The sequence below is a fragment of the Homo sapiens genome, chromosome 1, assembly GCF_000001405.40.
Source record: "Homo sapiens chromosome 1, GRCh38.p14 Primary Assembly".
Lineage (NCBI taxonomy): Eukaryota > Metazoa > Chordata > Mammalia > Primates > Hominidae > Homo > Homo sapiens.
In genome coordinates this window covers 201,023,937-201,045,376 of record NC_000001.11, presented here as the reverse complement: position 1 = coordinate 201,045,376, position 21,440 = coordinate 201,023,937, and the positions used below count along the sequence as shown (strand labels likewise).

The following is a 21,440-nucleotide window of genomic DNA, read 5'->3' as shown; positions in this document are numbered from 1 at the left end:
AAGGATCCAATCCAGAATCAGACAGTGCATTGAGTTGCCTTATCTCTTTCATCTCTTCCATCTGGAAGAGTTCATCAGTCTTTCCTTGACACGATCTTGACACTTGAAGACTGCAGGTCAGTATGTCCCTCAGTTGGGGTTTGTCTGATTACTAGGATATGCATCTTGGATAAGAATGCCACAGAAATGATTCTGTGTTCTCATTACAAGCTATTAGGTGACACCAGTCTTGACTTGTCCCATTACTGGTGATATTAACTTTGCTCAACTATATATATATGACATATCCAATCAATAAAGATCACCAATCTAGAAGACTGTACTGAGTAAGAACACTTCTCAACCTGGAAGCCTGGGAAGGGCATGAAATTTCCACCCATGGGGTCAAGAGATGACTCAATTGGAACAATTAAGGTGTGGGCTATCCCAGAGGCCAGAGCAGGACCTGGTGGCCTCTCAGGTACCTGAGATATTCAATAACCCAAGAGGGAGAGTGGGGCCTAGGCTGGGGCTTTGGGAGAGCCCTGGGTACAGTGATAAGAAACAAGTAAGCCATACGAAGCGGTTCTAGCCAGGCACGGTGGCTCATGCCTGTAATCCCAGCACTTTGGGAGGCCAAGTGGGTGGATCACAAGGTCAGGAGTTTGAGACCAGCCTAGCCAACATGGTGAAACCCCATCTCTACTAAAAATACAAGCATTAGCAGGGAGTGGTGGCACATGCCTATAATCCCAGCTACTCAGGAGGCTGAGGCAGGAGAATCACTTGAACCCGGGAAGCAGAGGTTACAGTGAGCTCAGATTGTGCCACTGCACTCCAGCCTGGGCAACAGAGTGAGACTCTGTCTCAAAAAAAGAAAAAGTGGTTCTGGTCTCCTCTCCTGGGCTGGAGAGATAACTGAGTCCCTTCGTCATCCCCAGGCAGGGCTGCGGACCATTGAGGAAGAGGCAGCCCCCGAGATCTGTCGCACGGTCTCAGGAGACCTGGCTGCTGAGGAGGAGCTGGAGAGAGCCATGGTGGAGGCTGCGATGGAGGAGGGAATATTCCGGGTGAGGGAGAGCCAGGAGCACCCCTAGTGGTCTAGACACCATGAGTGGCAGTGTCTCACAGAGAGGAGGGCTGGGAGCCCAGCCACACGAGAGGGGGACATGGGAGCTGAAGATACCCCACTCCGTCTCTCCACTTCACCACCCACCTCTCCTGGGACTCAGAATCAATGACCTGATCTACTAGAGGTGTCAAATGCAACACACTCTTTCCCACATTTCCCTACCAAATCTCACCCCTTCCCTTTCCTCCCCACAAACCCTAGGCAACGACCCATCTCCCAGAGGCCCTCCAGGATCAAATGCCCTGCCTGCCTCCACTGAGGCCAGTCCTCCATCCTTAGCTCTGTCTCATGTTTCTTATAACACTTTATTGCTGGAAGGTCTTTAATGACACCTAGTTAGGTCTTTTTGGGTTATTCATGAGGAAATAGTGGCCCACAGAGATCATGTGAGATGTCCAATATCACCTAGTAAATCAGTTTCAGAGCGGGGACTAGAACCCAGTGCTGCAGACTCCCGATTCAGCCCTCTCTCCCCTACACCACACTTCTCTTCTGTGTGCCTGTGTCCCCTATATACCTCCTTAGGTGTGTGCTGTCTACCCCATCAAACAAAGAACTTTCTAAGGGTGGGAATTTTCTTCTTTTGATCTCACCACTCAGTCCATCCTCCTTTGGCCTTATAAGATTTGTCTCCCAATACTATTGCTTGTTCCCAATACCACTGTCCCAGAGTGACAGCCCCCCATGCCCTCCCTGCCCTCACCCCCAGTCACTGCTCTTCTCCTTGCCCCTAGAGGACTGGAGGCCTGTTTGGCCAGGTGGACAACTTCCTGGAAAGGACCAACTCCCTGCCCCCCGTCATGGCCAATCAGAGACCCCTCCAGTTTGCTGAGATAGAGATGGAAGAGATGGAGTCACCTGTCTTCTTGGAGGACTTCCCACAAGATCCACGCACCAACCCCCTGGCTCGTGCCAATACCAACAATGCCAACGCCAATGTCGCCTATGGCAACAGCAACCATAGCAACAGCCATGTGTTTTCCAGGTAGTGGCGGCCACTGCCATCCCTGGGTGTAGAGGTACTGGGAGGACAATGTCAGCAGGTTCCAGGTTGGATTGGAAGAGGGTACCCCAAATTTGTAGGGTGTCTTTTGCTTGCCTTTGTGCCCCAATCCATCCTGAACCTTAATGTAAGAGGCCGACCTCGATGGCAGAGGCTTCTTTGGCCAGCAGGGGGAAGCCTCACATCATGTCAGTATTGGCCCCAGTGTTGAGAGGTTCTTTTATTCCGTCGGCTTCAGCAAGTCTAGGAGCTGAGACGTATTGAACACATGATAGGTTAGGAGAGGATCTTCGGTGGTAGCACATACCACAAAAGACTGTGGACAATAAGATTCCATCACTGGATTTAGGTTCCAAGGAGATCCCGCTGTGCTGGGTGGTTCCCATCTCACCAACCTTGGGCTGTAGACTAAATATAATCTGTGATTACGTAAGTGTCATAAAAAACAGCAGGATGAGGGGGAGAACTTCTCAGCAATCATAACTTAGGGGCTAGGCTCAGGCAAAGCTTCTGTTCTAGACAGGAGGTCAGCTGATTGGAGGCCTCTTCGGCCTGGAAAGGCTTAGCCCCAGGCCTCAGGAATAAGCAGAACAAGGCAGCAGCCAGCCCCTTTTCATGGCCAGGGCTGCCTGCACCCCTTCCAGTCACAGAGACCCCTTAAATTCAGCCCACAAGCCTTGAAGGGTGCATGTACCTTTTTGGGTCACCATGGTGCAAGGTAACGTGGAAATACAGAAGCATCAGCCCTGGGCCCTGCCCTGAAGGGGGTTGTCGTCTTGTTGGGTGATATGTTATGTGATATGATTGGGACCAAATAATCACAGAGGCCAGGAGTGGTGGCTCATGCCTGTAATCCCAGCACTTTGGGAGGCCTAGGCAGGTGGATCACTTGAGGTCAGGAGTTCGAGACCTGCCTGGCCAACATGGAGAAACCGTGTCTCTACTAAAAACACACAAAAAATTAGTCAGGTGTGGTGGCGCATGCCTGAAATCTCAGCTACTCGGGAGGCTGAGGCAGAAGAATCTCTTGAACTCAAGAAGTGGAGGTTGCAGTGAGCTGATTGTGCCACTGCACTCCAGCCTGGGTGAGAGAACAAGACTCCGTCTCAAAAAAACAAAACAAAACAAAACAAATAAACAAAAAACACCAAATAATAACAGATATTTAGTGTCCTGAGAGTGCAGAGGGGGTATGGATCACCATGGGCTGGAAAGACCTAGAATGGTTCTCAGCCTTGGCTGTGCATTAGATAATCCAGGGAGCTTCTGCAAATCCCAATGCCTGGGCCTCACCACAGATGCTGGGTGTGGGACTCAGCCACCACTCACCTTTGAGCTCCTCAGGTGATCCTATGTGTGGCCAAGATGGAGAAGCAGGGTTCCAAAGGCTGGGAGGCTGCAGCTGGGCCTTGGAAGATGAACAGAATGTAGAAAGGGTAGAGGGAGCAACTGAGCAAAGGAGTGGAGTCAGGAATGCTCTGGACTCCTTCCTCCTAGAGAGTCAGGGCTGGCTGGGGCACAGTGGTGGAAACGTCAGCCCTAGAGTCACGGCTGCTACACTAGGTTGGCCTTGTACAGGCTCTGAGGGAAAAGGATGTTTGGGGCCAGAGAGGCAGGGATGCCGAGAGAGCTAGCAGCCTTCTCTGGTTCACCCAGCCTTGCTTCCATTTCAGTGTCCACTATGAAAGGGAGTTCCCAGAAGAGACAGAGACGCCTGCTACCAGAGGACGAGCCCTTGGCCAACCCTGCAGGGTCCTGGGTCAGTCCCTTCTGTGCATCTAAGAAGCTTGAGTCTTCTCCCAGAGGAGTCCGGGAAGCCCCACTCTTTTCTTAGAGTCTGGGAACTTGGCTGGGAGGGCTGGCTTGGGAGCCTGTTACAATGGCAGTCATCTGGGCCCTGGAATGGGAAAACCATCAGGACCAGCTACTTGTCCAGGGGGGAAGCAGGGCACCATCTAGGTGGCTGAGTGAGGTGGAAGGGGGAAAGCCCATTCATGCTAAAGGGCCCTCTGCAGGCCTCCCAGGAAACTCACACAGCCCCCTACACCATCCCCAGCACAGGAGTCCCCACACCGCCCCAGGTCCCTGGAAGGGCAGCCCCTGGACACACTGACGTCTTGACTCTGGGGCCCTTCTGCAAATGATCTTGTAGTCTAGTATGTCCTAGACTGCTGTGTGACAGTAGGAGCCCCAAGGATGCTGGGGGCTAGTGGCAATAAGGATACTGCTGTGTTCCCCAACACACTTTCACTTTAATGTGCACACACCCAGGGACCACAGAGGACCAGCTTGGCCAGAGACTCTGGCCCTTATCCCCTCTCCCAAACCTTCAAGAACAGCGACCAGGGCCAGTAAAGTTGGGGCAGCCCTGCCTGGCCTGGAGTTGATTGGGCCTCATCATGTGTCCACCCTCTAAGACACCTTCTGCAGCCCTGAGAATCTCAGAGCTCTCACAGAGTGTGGCTAGCCAGCCAAGCGAGCCTCTGTTGACTCAGGGCTCCTGGCAGGAGTCAGCAGCCCCTCTTATCCTTGCCCCTTCTTGCATACAGGACCCCACAGCAAACCCTGTGTGGAGATGCTGAAGGGACTGCTGACCCAGAGGGCAATGCCCAGAGGCCAGGCACCTCCTGCCCCCTGCCAGGTAACAGTGGCAGAGGCCTGGGAGCAAACTCCATACAGAGACCCTGCCTGGCCTGATACTTGGAGTGGGATCATGGCAGGGGAAGGCTGTGGCAGCAATGTGTCCAACAGTACAGAAGGGACGGGATCCCTCCATCCTCCCCTTTCTGTGGATCTTGGTTGAGTTGCCCTCAGATGATCTGGAATTTTGCTCATTGGTGGGCTCCAGCACCCCTGTCGGGGTCTTTGCTTTTGTACCTTTGGAACAGTGCCCCAGGGTGGAGTCCTCCATGCCTGAGGACAGAAAGAGCTCCACACCAGGGTCTCTTCATGAGGAGACACCCCACAGCAGGAGCACCAGGGAGAATACTTCCAGGTGCTCAGCACCAGCTACAGCCCTGCTGATCCAAAAGGTGAGCCAGGGGCTGGGTCACAGCAGTGGCTGCATTGAGTGGTGGCCCTGTGATGGCCTGGCGTGGAGAGAGGGTAGGGCCAACAGAGGCAGGTCCCCAAATGTGGCTCCCCAGGAAGACCCCACTCAGCCTACTCTCCTCCCTGCAGGCTCTGGTTCGAGGGGGCCTGGGCACCTTGGCAGCTGATGCAAACTTCATCATGGCAACAGGCCAGGCCCTGGCAGATGCCTGCCAAATGGAACCAGAGGAAGTGGAGATCATGGCAACAGAGCTACTGAAAGGACGAGAGGCCCCAGAGGGCATGGCCAGCTCCCTGGGATGCCTGAACCTCGGGTCCTCCCTGGGCAGCCTCGACCAACACCAGGGCTCCCAGGAGACCCTTATTCCTCCAAGGCTGTGATGCCCACACAGCATCAGCATGGGCTTAGAGCTGGCATGACCAATGGGGGTGGGGAAGTTGCTGGGGTGGAGAAGGGCTAGCCCACCGCAGCAGCCTCCCTCCCTCTCAGCAGCTAGATGCATGGCCTGAGGCAGGGTGGTCAGGAACCACCTCAAAAAGTGCGGAGGAAGTAGCTGGACAGGCCCTGCCCCTCACCAGCAAGAGGCATGATTGGATGGAGCTTCTAATGTCATTCAAAAAGGCCTGGTCAGTGCCTGTCTGGCCTAGGGCCACTCCCACCTGCAGGACATTAAAATCTCCAGGCCTGTGACACTGGCAACTGGCCTCTGCTTGTCCAGTTTTTTGGACTCTTCTACACCTGTGTTTCCCCCTCCCCAGTCCCTTCCCCAGGAACCCTGCCCATGGGCTTGGGAGACTGGGCTGTGGAGAAAGACAGAGGGGCCATCTGGATTATTTTTCTGCATGAGGCAGAGAGGGACCTGTTGTGGGTTCTCCTGAAGTCCACAGCCAAGTCCACTGACTGGGACCAAGCAGCCCCAGAAAGGACTGGTGGTCTCAGAAGCAGCTGCACACCCCAGGTCACACCATGGCCAAACATCTTCGAAGCTACGACCATGTTGCATTGGCCAGAGTCCACTGCCAACACAGGCTCTCAGAGCCCTCAACTGCCCCCTGTTTATTGCCTTGAATATCAAAGATCTACATTCTCCAGGGCTCCTCTTAGCCACACCAAGTAACTATGAGTAACAGTAGCTACTATTTACCAAGTGCCTCCTGCGTGCCACCTACACACCTGCTCTCATGCCAGGGGCTGCAATACGTTGTTTACAAAGCACCTTCATGTACAATATTCATTTTATTGCCACCACAACCATGCAAAGTACATGTGAATTCCACGTTAAAAATGAAGGAATGGAGGCATGCAGAGGTGATGGGACAGCCCTGGGGTGCACAGCCAGAGGCAAGGTCAGGACTCTGCACCGGGCCCTCCATGTCCCCACAGCATCCTTCCCCCTTCACTGGACTCTTTGCTCTTCTCGCCATTCCATCATTAAGCCTGTGCCAAGCGCCTGCTCTGTGGCTGTTGCTATGGAAACCAAGCTGGCCTCCCCATGCAGCCTCCTAGCGAACCCCCAGTCGGCTTCTGGGCTTCTCAGCTGGGCCTAGGGTATCAGTCATGCAGGGCAGGGACGCTCGCACTCTTAATGCACTATACGTCCCTTCCCCCAGTCTCAACAGGGCCCCAATGCTTCCTAGTCCCTGTCAGTGCAGCAATCTCAACGCCCTTCTCTCCTGAAACCCCAACACCAGCAGCTAGCTTTGCTCCCTTCACACACACAAAAAAATATATAGAAGCTACCAGAAGGTTCCTCCCTCAGCTCCTGTCTCCACACTGATGAACCCACCTGTTTCTGCTGTCTCATTCTCCTCCTTCCCTTCTGACCCAGTGGAAGCCAGTTCTCTCCTGCCAGCTGCTCGGATTCTACCCCAGCCCTTATCCCCTCTCTCTGCCTCTCCACAGGCCCCTTCTAGCTGCATGGAACACATTCCAGGTGCCTCCCTCCTAGCAGCCTGACCCTGCAGCCATCCTATTTCCCTATTTCTGTCTCCCTCTCTGTTTTTCCATTCATCCATCCACCCATCCATCCATCATCCATCCATCCATCATCTATGATCTATCTTTTTTTTTTTTTTTTAGACAGAGTCTCACTCTGGTACCCAGGCTAGAGTGCAGTGGCATGAACTCAGCTCACTGCAACCTTCATCTCCTGGGTTCAAGTGATTCTCCTCCCTCAGCCTCCCGAGTAGCTGGGACTACAGGTGTGTGCCACCATGCCCAGCTAATTTTTGTATTTTTAGTAGAAACTGTGTTTTGCCATGTTGGCCAGGCTAGTCTTGAACTCCTGACCTCAAGTGATCCACCCACCTCAGCCTCCCAAAGTGCTGGGATTACAGGCGTGAGCCACCACTGCTGACTGAGGACCAAACTTCTTACCTGGGTGGTCTCCTTGTCCACATTTCTATTTCTCCTTCCATTCTCATTTCTCCTCTCTAGGCAATCCTCCTCTGCCCCATCGCTTCTCTGGAAACACGCTCACCAATGTCACCAACTATCTGGTTGCTAACCCAGTGGACTCTCACATCTTTACATTACTTGACTTCTAGGCAGCATGAGATACAATTTAGCCCGCTCCCTGCCTGAAAATCCCCCGAGTGTCAGATCTCCTGAATTTCCTCTTACCCCTCGAGTGTTCCAACTTGAAGCTTCCTTGGGAGTTCCCCCTTGGCCTGCCTACTTCTCAGGTAGACTCTGTCTCCTTGACCCTTTCTTCTCATGTAGTACACGTTCATATCTTAGTTGCATGTATGTGCCAGTAATTCCAAAATCCATATTTCTAGTCAAAATCTCCCCTAAACTCCAGGACTCTGTATCCTGTTCCTCCCAGACAACTCTGCATAGACATCTCACTTGTGCCTAATGCTCACCTTGTCCAGTGGTGGCCTCTTATCCTTTCCCCAAAGCCTGCTACTCCTCTGGTATTGCTGGTCTCGGGGAAACCCAATCCTTATTCAAACCAGAAGTCTGGGTGTTGTCCTGGATGCCTACCTCCCCCTCCCACCATGCCCCGCACATTTGCCCTCCTAAGTATCTCTCACATCTGTCTCCCTTCCCTTCATCCTCACGGTCACTTTCTTGATTCGTTCAACCATCATCTCATGCTTTATCTATTGTGACAGCCTTTGAACGGGCCTCCAATCTCCTCTTTTCTCTTCCTTCCCATCTGTCTTTGATATTTCTAAAAGGAAGAACCACTCATCTTGTCTCCTTGCTGAAAACTTTTAAAGGCACCCCCAAAGCCCTCTGAATAGTGAGCAAAACCCTTGCCTGGGTTCACAAGCCTCTCCCAGATCAGACCCTGCCCAAGTCTCCTACTCGCCCCACCCAGAGGGAGCTCTCACCTCTGAGCTCACATGTACTGTTCTCTCTGGAAATGTTCTGAGCCCTCTACCTGACTGAGCTCTAGTCACCCTTCAAACCTCAGCTTTGCTATTGCTTCCTGCAAAAGGCTTTCCCTGAACACCCCCAAACTCTCTGTAGCCTGGCCCAGAAATGTGGCCGCCCTCTCTCCTCCGTTACAGTAGGGATCGTAGCTGTGTTGTAACTGCTTGTTTATTTTTACCCCAGTCAGACACCAAGCTCCACAAAGCAGGAGCTGTGTCCACGTTGTTCACAGTTCTCTCTCCAGGGCTGAGCACTTTTCAGCAGAGATTGCTGGCTCAATGTCGCTTGTTAAATAAATGCAGTAAAGAGCTGTGGGGTGTGGACGCTGCCCGCAGCAGGGTCGCTGCCCAGTATCACCTGCTCAGCTCTGCAGCCTCCGCTGCCATGGCTGTCCATCTAGACCAAGAGGAGGCAGGGAGGAGGGGCTCTGCCTCCGGAGGGTGACAAGCTAGACTCCACGGTGCAGCTCCCACAGGCAGGAGGGAGTACTCGACACCCCCACAGCTGCTTACATTGTCTCCTGCTCAATTGGCTCATCTCTAGGGAAGACAAGATAAAATGGAACATAAGTCTATGCTGTAAAGTTTTATAAAAGGACACTCTTATTTATGAGGGATCTGAACATCTTATAGTAATGCCTACCACATACAGAGTGCCAACTAGGGCTGGACGCAGTGACTCACACCTGTAATCCCAGCACTTTGGGAGGCCAAGGTGGGAGGATTGCTTGAGGCCAGGAGTTCGAGACCAGCCTGGGAAATGTAGCAAGATCCCTGTCTTCACACACACACAAACACACACACACACACACACACACACACAATTAAAAATTAGCCATACATGGTAGCACGATCTGATAGACCTAGCTACTTGGGAGGCTGAGGTGAGAGAGCTGCTTGAGCCCAAGTGTTCAAGGTGAGCTATGATTGCACCACTGTACTCCAGCCTGAGTGACAAAATAAGACCCCGTCTCTAAAAAAAAAAAAAAAAAAAAAAAAAAAAAAAAAAGCTAACTATATGGCAGGCCCTCTTCCAAAGGTTTTGCATATATTAATTTATTTAATCCTCTTAACAATTAAGAAAGGTATCATCATCCTCACTTTGCAAAAATGACACAGAGAGGGCCAGGTGCAGTGGCTCACGTCTGTAATCGAAGCACTTTGGGAGGCTGAGGTGAGTGGATCACATGAGGTCAGGAGTTCAAGACCAGCCTGGCCAACATGGTGAAACCCCATCTCTACTAAAAATACAAAAAATTAACCTAGCATGGTGATGTACACCAGTAATCCCAGCTACTTGGAAGGCCGAGGTAGGAGAATTGCTTGAACCCAGGAGACAGAGGTTGCATTGAGCTGAGATCACACCACTGCACTCCAGCCTGGGCGACAACTGTGAAACTCCTTCTTAAAAGAAAAGAAAAAAAAAGACACAGAGAGAACAAACGTAACTTGCCTAACCACACAACTCATAAGAGAGCCAAGGTGGGAATCAAACCCAGGCAGTTTAGCATCCAATTCCACGTCCTTAACTGTACACCATTTGTCAAATCCATGCCGTCCCTCCCTGCCTAACTAACAGATAACATGCATAAACACAGGCTCTGAGAAACTTTCCTATTAGGTCTTCACCCTATGGAAAAGTTCAGGCATTTTCCTTTGCAACATATAAGATGTTGTAATTTATCAGAATGTGCAAAATCCTACCTCTGCATCAGCTTTGCTTGAAGTAATAGGTGGGTTTCCCCTTATAGGACTGCCAGGCTCCTCAAATAAAGCCTAAAAGGAACAAATTGTGGCAGGATGAGGGCTGAAGTGGGAGGGAGGGGAAGTGGGCAAATACAGAGAAGACAGACGCCCCTCAGCAGGACCCCCTGACAGAGACAGTGTACCCGTAGGAGCAGGTGGGCTCCCTTCTGTTACCTGGGGGCACTGGCCAGGGACAGTGTGTGCCAGATCCCTGTCTTCTCCCTGACAGTTCCCTGCAGACATGGGACCCAGCTGCTGGGTGGGGGGATCTGCCAGAAGGGGCGGGGTGTGGCTGGCAGGAGGGATAGACACAAAGCTGCATGCTGGGGCTGTGGGGGCTGGGGGAGCCCTCCATCTAGGGGGCACGGAGCTCAGCTGGAGGGTCTCTGGAAAGGTGGAAGATGGTGGGCCCCAGTTCCCGTATGTCTTCAGAATGGGGAGGAGCTCCCTGGCCCTGAGGGACTCCTGCCAAGTTGCCTCTCCTGGGCTCTTAAGGCAGGGAGGTGGCTGTTGTCTGCAAGGTGTTTCCGAGCAAAGCCTTGGAAGCCCGAATCCCCTTCCCCTGTGTCCATGTTGAGTGATGGTCAGGCAGTTCATATAACCTTTTGAAGTCTCTGCTCCTCACTCTACCTAATGGGAAAGTCATTCCTACTCCCAGGGTGGTTGTGAGATACGAATGTCACAGGGGAAGGGCCTGGCACAGGTAGGGAAGGAAGCTGTTGTTTTGATTCTGTCTGATGCTAGCTAGTGATGGGGTCAGACCTGTAAGACAGGAGGAAGCCAACCTTGGGGGTTCCCGGGCACTTTAGGGGACACGGTGCAGCAGCAACGGGCAGCCCACACACCTCAGCACCAGGCCTCGTCCTCCTAGAGGCCCTGCCAGCTCTCACCAACTGGCGTGGATGTAGAGGCCGGCTCCTGCCCCAGACTGCTAGAGGAGACACTGCCAACACAAGGCTGACCTTAACCCCAACTCCTATTTCACAAGGTCTTGCCCCCATTCTTCTGGCATCTGATCCCTAGTACCATGTCACCCCAGCCTTGGGGCTGACAGTTCACAGTGCCAACCTCACCACAGGTCATCCTCCTGTCATTTTCCTGATGAGGCCACTGACAGGCAAGGTCCTACAACTGGTAAGTGGCAGATCTGGGATGTGCCCTCCAGCCTTCTAATTCCATGGCTACTTTCCCCTGTGGTCCATAACTGTGTGTCTCAATGGAACTTAAAGTCCAGTTGAGGAAACCAAAGCACAGAAGCATTTTTAAAATAAACTGGCCACAAATACAAGGGGCAAGCGATGATTCTGGTATTGAGTGTCAGCTGAAAACGTGATGGTGTCACATACCTTGGTGAGACAGACACTAAGGTTTGAAAGGTTCAGAGGAGGCTGGGTGCGGTGGCCCATGCCTGTAATCCTAGCACTCTGGGAGGCCGAGGTGGGTGGATCACCTGAGGTCAGGAGTTCAAGACCAGCCTAGCCAACATGGTGAAACCTCATCTCTACTAAAAATACAAAAATTAGCCAGGCGTGGTGGTGCACACCTGTAATCCCAGCTACTCGGGAGGCTGAGGCAGGAGAACTGCTCCAACCCAGGAGGCAGAGGTTGCAGTGAGCCAGATCACACCACTGCGCTCCAGCCTGGGTGACAAAGTGAGTCTCTGTCTCAAAAACAAAACAAAACAAAACAAAACAAAACAAAAAAAGAAAAAGAAAAAGAAACAAAGAAAATTAGCCAGGCATGGTGGTGTGTGCCTGTCATCTCAGCTACCTGGGAGGCTGAGGTGCGAGGATCCCTTGAGCCTGGGAGGTCGAGGCTGCAGTCAGCCATGGTTGCACCATCACACTCCTGCCTGGCCAACAGAGTGAGACCCCATCTCAACAAATAAATAAAAAAAGTCAAATGAAGAAAGAGGAGACTCCATGGTGGGAAGAAGGTAAATGAAGACCTGGGGAAGGAAAGAACTCCATGTACCTCACATCACTAAGTTCATGAGAAGAACCAGGAAGAGACCCCAGGCTCCCTCAACCAAGCTTCAGAAAGGCTGTCCTGAAACGTGCAGGGTGCAGCAGAGTGAGGCCCTGGACTTGGAGAATACAAATTCCCATTCCCTCTTGTATGTTCTCCTAAAAATGTTTCTGCCCTTTGGTTTCCTCATCTGTAGAACAATAATGGCTATAACATACATTAAGCCTGATTCATTAAGCATTTTGCCTTTCATATCATGTAATCATTGCAACACCTATAAAATAGGTATTACTATTAATCTCATTTTATGATGAGAAAACGGAGGTTCAGAAAGGAGGAGTGAATTAGTTGCAGTCACTTGGCCCTGAAATGGTGAAGCCAGGTGTCTAGCAGGAGCTTGGCCACTATTCTTAAGCCTCTTACTTCTTGTATTCTTGTGAGGCTCACATGACAATCCACCCCTACCCTCCAATCCCCACTCAACCTCCACTAATCTGGCCTGAAACCCTTTGCACACCCTGCCAAGCACCAGCCCAACCACACACAACTCAACAACTCCCTCTTGCACAGGCCACACACTCTCAGGCTTCTACTGACAGTGTCTCTGAACCCAACAAACTCCTCCTTGGGTCTCAGCCTGACAGTGCCTCCTGCAAGTCTTTTCTGATCACCCAAGTAAACTTACTTGCTGCTTCCTTAGTGCTCTTAGAGCACCTGATAACTCTCATTCTGGCATTTATTACACTATATCCTAATTAGGGGTTTGTATTTTGTTTTTTCCAAGCATACTGTGAGTTTCTCAAGGGCGGGCATTGAATCTTTATCAACTTTGTATTCCTAGCAAGGAAAAAATGGAAGGAAGGGAAAAAGGAAAGCAGGAAGGGAGGGAGAGAGGGAGGAAAGGTGGGCAAATGCAAAAGACTGCTACATAGAACATATTAGATGGGATCATTTGAAATTGCCAATATTCTATGCCTTCTTGTCTACAAAATGGTAACTTTATATTTCACCTGGTATAATGAGGGTGTTTCCCCACTAGCCAGACCCACCCAAGTACCTCCACTCACCCTCTGGTAGTCTCTGCTCTCTGTCTTTTGTTTTGGGACAGTTTACATGTGTCTTTACCACACAAAAGGGTTAGGATGGGGGCTTACCAAGGAGGGTGGTTCTTAGGCAGTATACAGACCAAAATTGATGGGGGCTTTCTGTACCTCTTCTCATTGAGACCACCTTGAGAGGTCCCCCTCTGAGTCCCCTCTGAGCGGGGAGGCGAAAGCTGACTCAGTGATAATGTGGAGTGGTCTGCAGGTGGGGGCCCAGCCACTCTAGCACCAGCCACTGTCAGAGCTTGACTGTCTCTCCAGGAAGACCTCCCTCGCCTCTTACAGCACCCCAAATCTGATCCTCTTGTCTTAGGGTTTGACTTCCTTCAAGGCCTAGCCCCCTATCTCCTCCTTCCCCTTTTCCAGGCCAAGGGACCCTCATCACTAGAGGGTAGGAGAAAAGGGCCTCTTCCTCTACGTTCTTTTTAATTTTGGTTATGACTTAAAGTCTTTGCTCCACCCAGTCCTGGCCTGCTATTTGGATCCTCCGAGTTTAGAAGTTAAAGAGAAAAAAGGACCTTTTCCTACTTCTCCGCATCCTCACTAGATCCTAATTCCCAAATTCTCCTTAAGGCAAAGGGTCTCCTCTGTCTACGGATACAAGTGTCAGGAAATACAAGGGTTGCAGGGAGGACACAGACTAACTTTTTAAGAGTTGTTTCACCTCAGGCCAACGTGAATATCTTGGTCAAAAAGGCCTTTGAAGTGCTCCTAAAACCGCCCTGAGATTCAGCACACACACTGCCTGGAGTGCTCCATTCACTACCATCCCTTCAAACCTTCATTCCGGCTGCATTTCTGGAGAGCTGGCACTTTAGAGGTTGACCTCTCCCCACATGCTGCCTCCAAGCCCTCTCCTCTTCCCCTCGATTTTTAAAGTGTTCAATGAACATTTGCTGGCAATTTGCTCTGCAGGGTCTGGCCGAGGCAATTATCTATTAAAATCCAAGAAAATGATGCATCCTGGAGACTGAACGTCAACAGCAACCAGGCCAGGGCAGGGTGGTGGTGGTGATTTGTTAACTTCTTCGCGGGCAGGGGCGTACACAGGTGGCATCTGTCAAAGGAAGGGAATGGCTTCTCTGGGGCCTGGCTAGGACTGCTCAGAGCCTCCTCCTCATCACCAGGTCTGGGAAGGGGTTCCATCTCCTGTCTCTCATCTTCCCTTGTCCCCAGGCCTGTGGCTTCATCTCTGTTTTCCTCTTCTCTGACATCCCCAGCCTGGCCTCTTGCTGGCTCCTCTCCAGTGTCCCCCTCTTTGGTTTTATGCCACCTTTCCGTCTCTCTGTTTCTCAACTTCCCTGCCACTAGCCCCTTCTTGGGAGGTGGGACCTTCCGTGAAGCCATAGGATATGTGGGCTCAGGGATAGGTAGCCAGGACTTTAACTGACTGTCCTCATGGCCCAGGAGAAGTCACCAACCACTCTGCACCTCTGTTTGAACAAAGAAGAAGTTGGGACAAGTTACTTTTCAACAGCTTTATTGAGGTATTTAATATGATTAATGTATAATAATCTGCACATATTCAAAGTGTGTAATTTGATTAGTCTGACAAATGTATTAGCATACACCCATGGAAGCATCACCACCATCAAGACAATAAATATGCCAGGCACAATGGCTCACGCCTGTAATCCCAGCACTTTGGGAGGCTGAGGCTGACAGATTGCTTGAGCCAAGGAGTTCAAGACCAGCCTGGGCAACATGGTGAAACCGTCTCTACAAACATACAAAAATGAGTCAGGCATGGTGGTGCAGTGCACACCTGTGGTCCCAGCTACTCAGGAGTCCAAGATGGGAGGATCCCTTGAGCCCAGGGAGCTCAAGGCTGCAGTGAACCATGATCGCACCACTGTACTCCAGCCTAGGTGACAGAGCAAGACCTCGTCTCAAAAAAAAAAAAAAAAAAAGAATAAATATACCCACCACCTCAAAACATTCCTCATGCCCTCATGCCCTCCTACCCCTCCCAGTTCCCTCCCCTTGCCAGGCAACCAATGATCTGCTTTCTGACACTATAGTTTACATTTTTTAGAATTTGTATATCAGTGGAATTGTACAGCATGTGCTCTTTTTGGTCTGGCTTCTTTCACTGAGCATAATTAATTTGGGGATTCATCCATATTGTATCATGTATCAATAGTTCATTCCTTTTTATTGCTAAATAGTATCCCACCATATGATACACCACAGATTCTTAATCCATTCCCCTGTCGATGGACATTTGTTGTGTTTCCAGTTTGGGCCTATGACAAAGCTGCTGGGGTCTTTCATGGGCAAGTCTTTATGTAGACACGTGAAGCACATAATTCCTTAGGGAGCTGTGCTCACTTTCTTGGCAGCTCAGCAGCTGCCAAGACAAGATTCATCCTTTTCCGTCCCTGTAATTCAGCAGAGGACGAAACTGGCAGGCAGCATGCTTGAGTTTGAACCCTGCCCACCACTTGCAGTGTGACCTTGTGCCCCTCTTGGTGTCCTGGTTTTCTTTATGTTCCTACCTCCATGGGTTGTGTGAGCATTCCATGACTGTATGGATCTGAAGCATTTAGTGCAACGCCCAGCACAATGTTCAGAAATAGTAGCTGTTCTTATTTTGCAGGCACCTCTGAGAAGATCTATACAATCCGAAATGGGCTTCCTCTAGAATCTCCGAGCAGTTACCCTAACCCTTTGAAGTGGCTCCATTTCACAGAGGAGTTACTGAGTCCCAAAGCAAAGAGTGACTTGACAGGGTCGATCTTTGATTTGGGAGTGAATGCAGGCGTGTCCTGATACCCAACTATTTCCTAGTTGGGTGATGGGCAGAGAGGAAGTCGGAATTTTCCAATTACTTCTCAGAGTGTCTCCTAGAGAGTCCTGATAAGTAGCTCAGCACAGCCAACCAGAAGACTATGAGCCCCTAAGGGTTCATACAAAACCACACTCATTTATTCAGTCCCCCCGGCTCAGCAACCTGGAAACCCCGCAAAATCACAGTCAAATCGGGGGGAAAGAGATAAGGGTAGGGAGGCTGCCTACCCTCCTCCCCTGCCCCACAGGGCTCTAAGTAGCCCAAAAAGGGGCTCCTGTGTGTCTTAGGCAAGCAGGTCAGTCTCTGGAAGGTACTTACGCCATCTGGCATCTTTACAGACCAGGCCTCCGAACTCTGGCTCTGCCTCTTCCTAACTGTGTCAGGGTAGGCCAGGCTTGCCGTGGCAACACACAACTTGTAAGTTCAGTGGTTTAACAATAAAAGTTTATTTCTCATTTACACTCTATGAACAACATAGGTGTGAGGGTGCCAGAGTCTTAATGCTTCCACTAGAGCTGACGCACATCAGTTCCGCCACGTTTTATTGGTTAAAGTTGGTCACATGTCCACAGCTAGCATCAAAGAGTGAGAACATGCAGTCCTACCTTGTGCCAGAAGGCAGAGAGCCGGAAATATTTGGAGACAGCACTAATGACTATACACTAGCCAAGTGACCTTTGAGCTCATTTCCTCTTCTGCAAAATGGGGACGAGAACAGTATTTGCCTCATAGATTGTTGTGAGGATTAAAAGAGAAATGTTATGTAACACCCTTGGCACAGTGTGGCACATGGGTGAGGTTGAGGCCCGGGGTATTTGTGTACAATGAGGACCCAGCATGCCCAGCCTCCCTCCTCCCCTGTAAACACTGACCCTGAACCCCGAGGCCCGTCACTGAGTGGTTAGCAGAGGATGGATAATTTTCTGCAAATCTGTCTTCTCCCGCCCTCTGGATCTGACACTGACCACTTGTGCCATGCAAACTTCATTGCCATAAACTACGCCCCCACCCCCAGCCTCATTCACACTCATGTGAGACTTCTTATCCCTCACGTGACTGCTTTATGACAAATCTGCCCTTCTGTCCAGTTAGAGGATAAGAATCCATTGAAGAAGGGGTAGAGAATCCGAGGGAAATGGGAAGGAAATTAACATCTATTTTTTGCTGAGCACTGTGCTGGATGCTTGACCCACGTTACCTCATTTAAACCTCATAATAGTCCTGTAATGAAGTGAGTGTGATTATTCTCATTTTGAGATGTGGGAGCTGATGCTTGGAGTAGTTACACACAGGCCCAGGGTTACAAAGCTAGTCAGTTGCAGAGCTGGGATGTGAACCCAAAACTCGGTGACTCAGAAGACCACACTTCAGCTTCTGGGCTGTCTTTTGCTATTTCATTCAGAATTTTTTTTTTTTTTTTTTTTTTTTTGAGACAGAGTCTTGCTTTGTCCCCCAGGTTGAAGTGCAGTAGTGCGATCTCGGCTCACTGAAATCTCCACCTCCCGGGTTCAACCGATTCTCGTGCCTCAGCCTCCTGAGTAGCTGGGATTACAGGCATGTGCCGTCACATCTGGCTAATTTTTGTACTTTTTAGTAGAGATGAGGTTTTGCCATGTTGGCCAGGTTGGTCTCAAACTCCTGGCCTCAAGTGATTCACCTGCCTTAGCCTCCCAAAGTGCTGGGATTACAGGCGTGAGCCTCCACACCTGGCTTAGACCTGACTTTTATCCAGGCTATAAACTCACCAACTGCCCAACCACAGATGTTTAGCCTTTGGGTTCTATTGTGCTGCTGTGGAAACTGTCCTGCTTCTGGAGTACAGGGACTAGGCTTTTAGTCACTGCTCAGTCCCTACCTTACTATGCAACTTTGGACAAGTCCTTTTACCTCTCTGGGCCTGAGTTTCTTCACTGAAAATGAAAGGGCTGGACTAAATTTCTCAGGTTCTTTCCATATCTAGGATTTGGTAACATTGAGAATTGCCCACATCTCTTCCTGCCTTTGGCCCTAATACTGTATTAGAAAGCATCACAAAGTAGAAAGGCAGATAAAGATCCCACATTTGAAGTTATACAGAGCATTAATTAGACTCTCGTTATTATTTGAAACTAAAAATAGTTTGTTTTAAGATTGATGGCGTGTTTGTAATCCATAGCAGGTTTCTCCCTTCCTTGCTATTTATAACAACTCTGGTTTCCTCTGTAACTAAGTCTGTCTCCTCCTATAAAAGAGGAAGTCAGGCTAAGTCTGCTCCTGAGCTAAGATCTCCTGAGTCTGCACCCCAGGAGAGGCTCTCTGGAGCTCTGAGCTCCTGTTGCTGGGCAGAACTCGGCTTAGTCTCCAGGTGGGCATTGGAAGATATGGCTGGACTATATGCCAGCAGGATGGGCTATGCCTGCTCTCCCATGGAACCATGCATAGCTGCTGGGGTGTGGCTGGGTATTAGGACTGGAGGTCCAGAACGCTGTATCTTCCACTCCTACAAGTTTTGCTTAATGCTTAGAGTTTTTTTGCAAATGCCAATGCCCAGTGCTAACCTGAAGAAGATAAAAGGAAACAGGGCTCAAGTTCAGGCCACTTTTGGGAGACATTTCCAGGGCCTATAAGTATCTCTTAGGTTTTTGATTTGTTCCTATAGGGTTGTTGTTGAGAGCTGGGTGTCCTGGAAGATCTGGGCATCCCAGATGGCTGCCCCAAGTTGCTGCCGGATTATTTTAACTACAGTAGCGTGGGAGCTTCCTGCCTCAGAGAGGGCTCCCCACACCTCCCCCAGGTTCCCATCTGCCCAGACGCCCACAGCTCCTGTCAAGAGAAATGATGGAAGCCCCAAGATACCTGGGGGAAGGGCCTCAGCTCAGGACAAGAGCTGGGGCTCCAACCCCAGTCCAGTCAGAGAACTCTCAGGGCCAGCTCATGGTTGTATGCATGTGTGTGTGTTTGCCTGTTTCTGTGAGACAGTGAGGAAAGCATGGGGGTGGGGGAGATAGGCACACGGGCAGCTAATCCTGAGAAACTCTGGGGTTTGGGAAGGAGGGAAGGAAAGGAAAGCTGGAAGGGGATAGAGGTGATGGGAGAGAGGGGGATGGGTAAAAACCAAAGAGAGGAAGCAGTGGCTGTGCTGAAGCTGGACAGAAACTGAAAAGGGCAAGGCTTGTCCTAAACTTCCTCTGACCCATCTAACCTAAATCTCCCCACGCTGTGGTTTAAGCCTTTTTCCCACCTTGGTTCTCCATCTAGCCTCTGAGCAGCAGAACCCAGGGGGGATGTCTGGATGCTGGCTGCCCTGCTGCTCCCTGGTGGCCCAGGAGGGAGCTACTTCTGAGTAGCCGAAGTCCTGAGGCTCTGACATTTAGGAGACCTGAGTTTCCCGCCCGTGTGTATCCCTGCTTCCCCTGACTCAACACCCAGTGACCTGGAGGGATGCAGAGAGGGTGGGCAGCAGCTCTGGAGGCATTTCCCAGCAGTAGAACTGTGAGTCAGAAGGGTCATCTACTGTCGGAAGTCAGAGGGGACCTCCTGCAGGCAGGAAACCAGAGTTGGGCCCCAGAGAAGTCCAGAGATGAGTTGGCGGGAAAGTAGCTCTTCAGAATGCAACATTACCATCCGGGAAGGCTGAACCTGGAGTCCGCTGTGCCTAGAGGAAAAGCCTGGGCCGGCCTAGCTCCCTTCTGCCTGGACATCATCATCCCTTCCACCTTGGTGGTCATCTGGGAAGCCTGGAATAAGATATACATGTCCAAATCTGGAGTCTGTTGCTTATATGCTGGAATTCATACATGTGAGGCTCAGTTTCCCCATCTGCAAAATTTAAAAAGAATAAAAAAGCCTAGCTTACAAGGTTATAGGGAAAAAATGAGAATATGTGCATAAAATACCTTGTGTAGGTGGTCCATATGTGTTAGTCTCCTCCCCACGAATTATTTTGGTTGGAAGATGGGGAGGAATGTTGCAGGATATGACTGCAACATTCTGCTAACCTCCTGGTCCAGGAGAGGTGATCCCCTGGCCCCAGGGAGAGCTTCCTCTAGATTCAAATGCTAATAAAAGGTCCAGGATACCACCAAGACCTCTTCTCCAGCCCCCATCATGGGGGCACTGCTGGCGGTGCTCCTCCTGTTTGCCATGGGGATGAAAAGGATGTGTTGATTGGCCCTTGAAATTTGCCCTTGAAATTATCTTTGGTTTTGATTTGACCTTAATAGGTCAAGCCAAACAGGGATCTGAGCTACTGCATGAAGCAGTTATTGGCGGGGAGGGGGGTGTGAGTGGAGGAGGGAAGGGGAGGAAGATGGTACCAACAGATGCATCCTCAGACCCCAGTCCACACCCTTGCCAAAATCTCTGACATGGTTTCATCATCTGAGGGTAATGTAAGAGGCCTGGAGTCAGACTCCCCTTCCTCCCCTCCCCCAGAGATCCCCATCCACATCTGGGGCTGCAGCTGGGTCCTCCTCTTGGGCCCTTTCCAGGGGAGGGAGCTGGGTGAAGTGAGGGCAGCTGGTGAGGGGCCCTGTGAATGGCCCCAATGTTGGGAGGCAGGGGGCAGGGAAGAGGCGTCTGGGCTCAGAGGGAGGGAGATGGACTGGGAAGGGAATTGTGACTTTGCAGCACTGGTCTCCTCCTCCATCCAGGCCCAGCGTTAAAGTCTCCATGGTCCTCCTTGTCCTTTATACCCATTCCTGCAGGCAGCTGCCCTCCTTCCCTTCCCCACCCACTTCACCGCCCAGCCTCTCTACCCAGGTGCTCGGAACTGAGGGCCCCCTTTGTTCCCTCCTTTCCCCCAGGGCAGCTCAGGCCTCCCACACTGACCCTCTGGCCCCACAGCCACAACAAGCAGAGTGTGAGCCAGGCCCAGTGGGGTCATCTGTGGGTCATAAAGGTCAATGGGACAGTCGTCTAGCAGTAGGGAGGGGCTAGTCTTGGGCTAGGAGCCTGGCCAGGAATCAACTAAAACATGAGCTTTAAGATGCTGCAGGGTGGAGGTGGGGGAAATTTTAGTTAGGGGCTAGCAAGAACTCCCTTCGAGAAGGGTTGGCGAATTTACTGGAATAAATGCAGAAGGGAAGCTTTCCTGGCTCTTTTGAACTATAAACCGTCAATCGCTGTGGGATCCCCGGGAGACCAGGGTTCTTACCATGCTTACCCACGAACTCGCTCTGTAACCTTCGGTAGTTCCCCTCTTTGAATCTCAGTTTCTTCATTTATGAAATGAGGGTCCCATTGAAGCCGAGGTTCTGCTACTCCAGGAGCCGAGGTTCTAACGTGGTCTGCGTCCAGCGCCCC

General features: G+C 50.9%; 1 protein-coding gene and 1 long non-coding RNA gene across 14 annotated transcripts in view, besides 2 other annotated features; one reads left to right on the top strand and one right to left on the bottom strand.

Moving 5' to 3' along the window:
* Positions 1–5,865, top strand: part of CACNA1S (calcium voltage-gated channel subunit alpha1 S) — a 72,915-nt gene extending 67,050 nt beyond the window's left edge. For both annotated transcript variants that reach the window (XM_005245478.4, NM_000069.3), the window contains 6 exons: positions 921–1,049; positions 1,846–2,096; positions 3,788–3,873; positions 4,664–4,755; positions 5,003–5,146; positions 5,295–5,865. In XM_005245478.4, the coding sequence (XP_005245535.1) occupies positions 921–1,049; positions 1,846–2,096; positions 3,788–3,873; positions 4,664–4,755; positions 5,003–5,146; positions 5,295–5,546 (954 nt within the window). In that variant the 3' untranslated portion in view covers positions 5,547–5,865. The remainder of the gene's footprint in view (positions 1–920; positions 1,050–1,845; positions 2,097–3,787; positions 3,874–4,663; positions 4,756–5,002; positions 5,147–5,294) is intronic.
* LOC101929305 (uncharacterized) lies at positions 8,701–21,428 on the bottom strand. 12 transcript variants are annotated; one of them, NR_188462.1, is made up of 5 exons: positions 21,292–21,428; positions 19,758–19,955; positions 14,146–14,799; positions 10,254–10,325; positions 8,701–9,089 (listed from the first exon to the last, which is right to left on the bottom strand). It is a non-coding gene; the product is annotated as an uncharacterized LOC101929305 (long non-coding RNA). The 12 variants fall into 12 exon arrangements; NR_188461.1 differs by having other exon boundaries at positions 14,012–14,799; positions 19,570–19,873; NR_188460.1 differs by lacking the exons at positions 8,701–9,089; positions 10,254–10,325; positions 14,146–14,799 and adding exons at positions 14,830–15,254; positions 16,763–16,852; positions 19,570–19,673 and having other exon boundaries at positions 19,758–19,873; positions 21,301–21,428.
* Positions 16,522–16,816: an enhancer, noted in NCBI's record as "tiled region #14143; HepG2 Activating non-DNase unmatched - State 22:ReprW, and K562 Activating non-DNase unmatched - State 20:ReprD". NCBI's record gives its function as "activates a minimal TATA promoter and a strong SV40 promoter by Sharpr-MPRA in HepG2 and K562 cells {active_cell/tissue: HepG2 | K562}" and the evidence as "EXISTENCE:reporter gene assay evidence [ECO:0000049][PMID:27701403]".
* Positions 20,938–21,095: a silencer, noted in NCBI's record as "fragment chr1:200993410-200993567 (GRCh37/hg19 assembly coordinates)". NCBI's record gives its function as "represses an EF-1alpha promoter that drives an FKBP-Casp9 reporter gene in an ReSE screen in HepG2 liver carcinoma cells {active_cell/tissue: HepG2}" and the evidence as "EXISTENCE:reporter gene assay evidence [ECO:0000049][PMID:32094911]".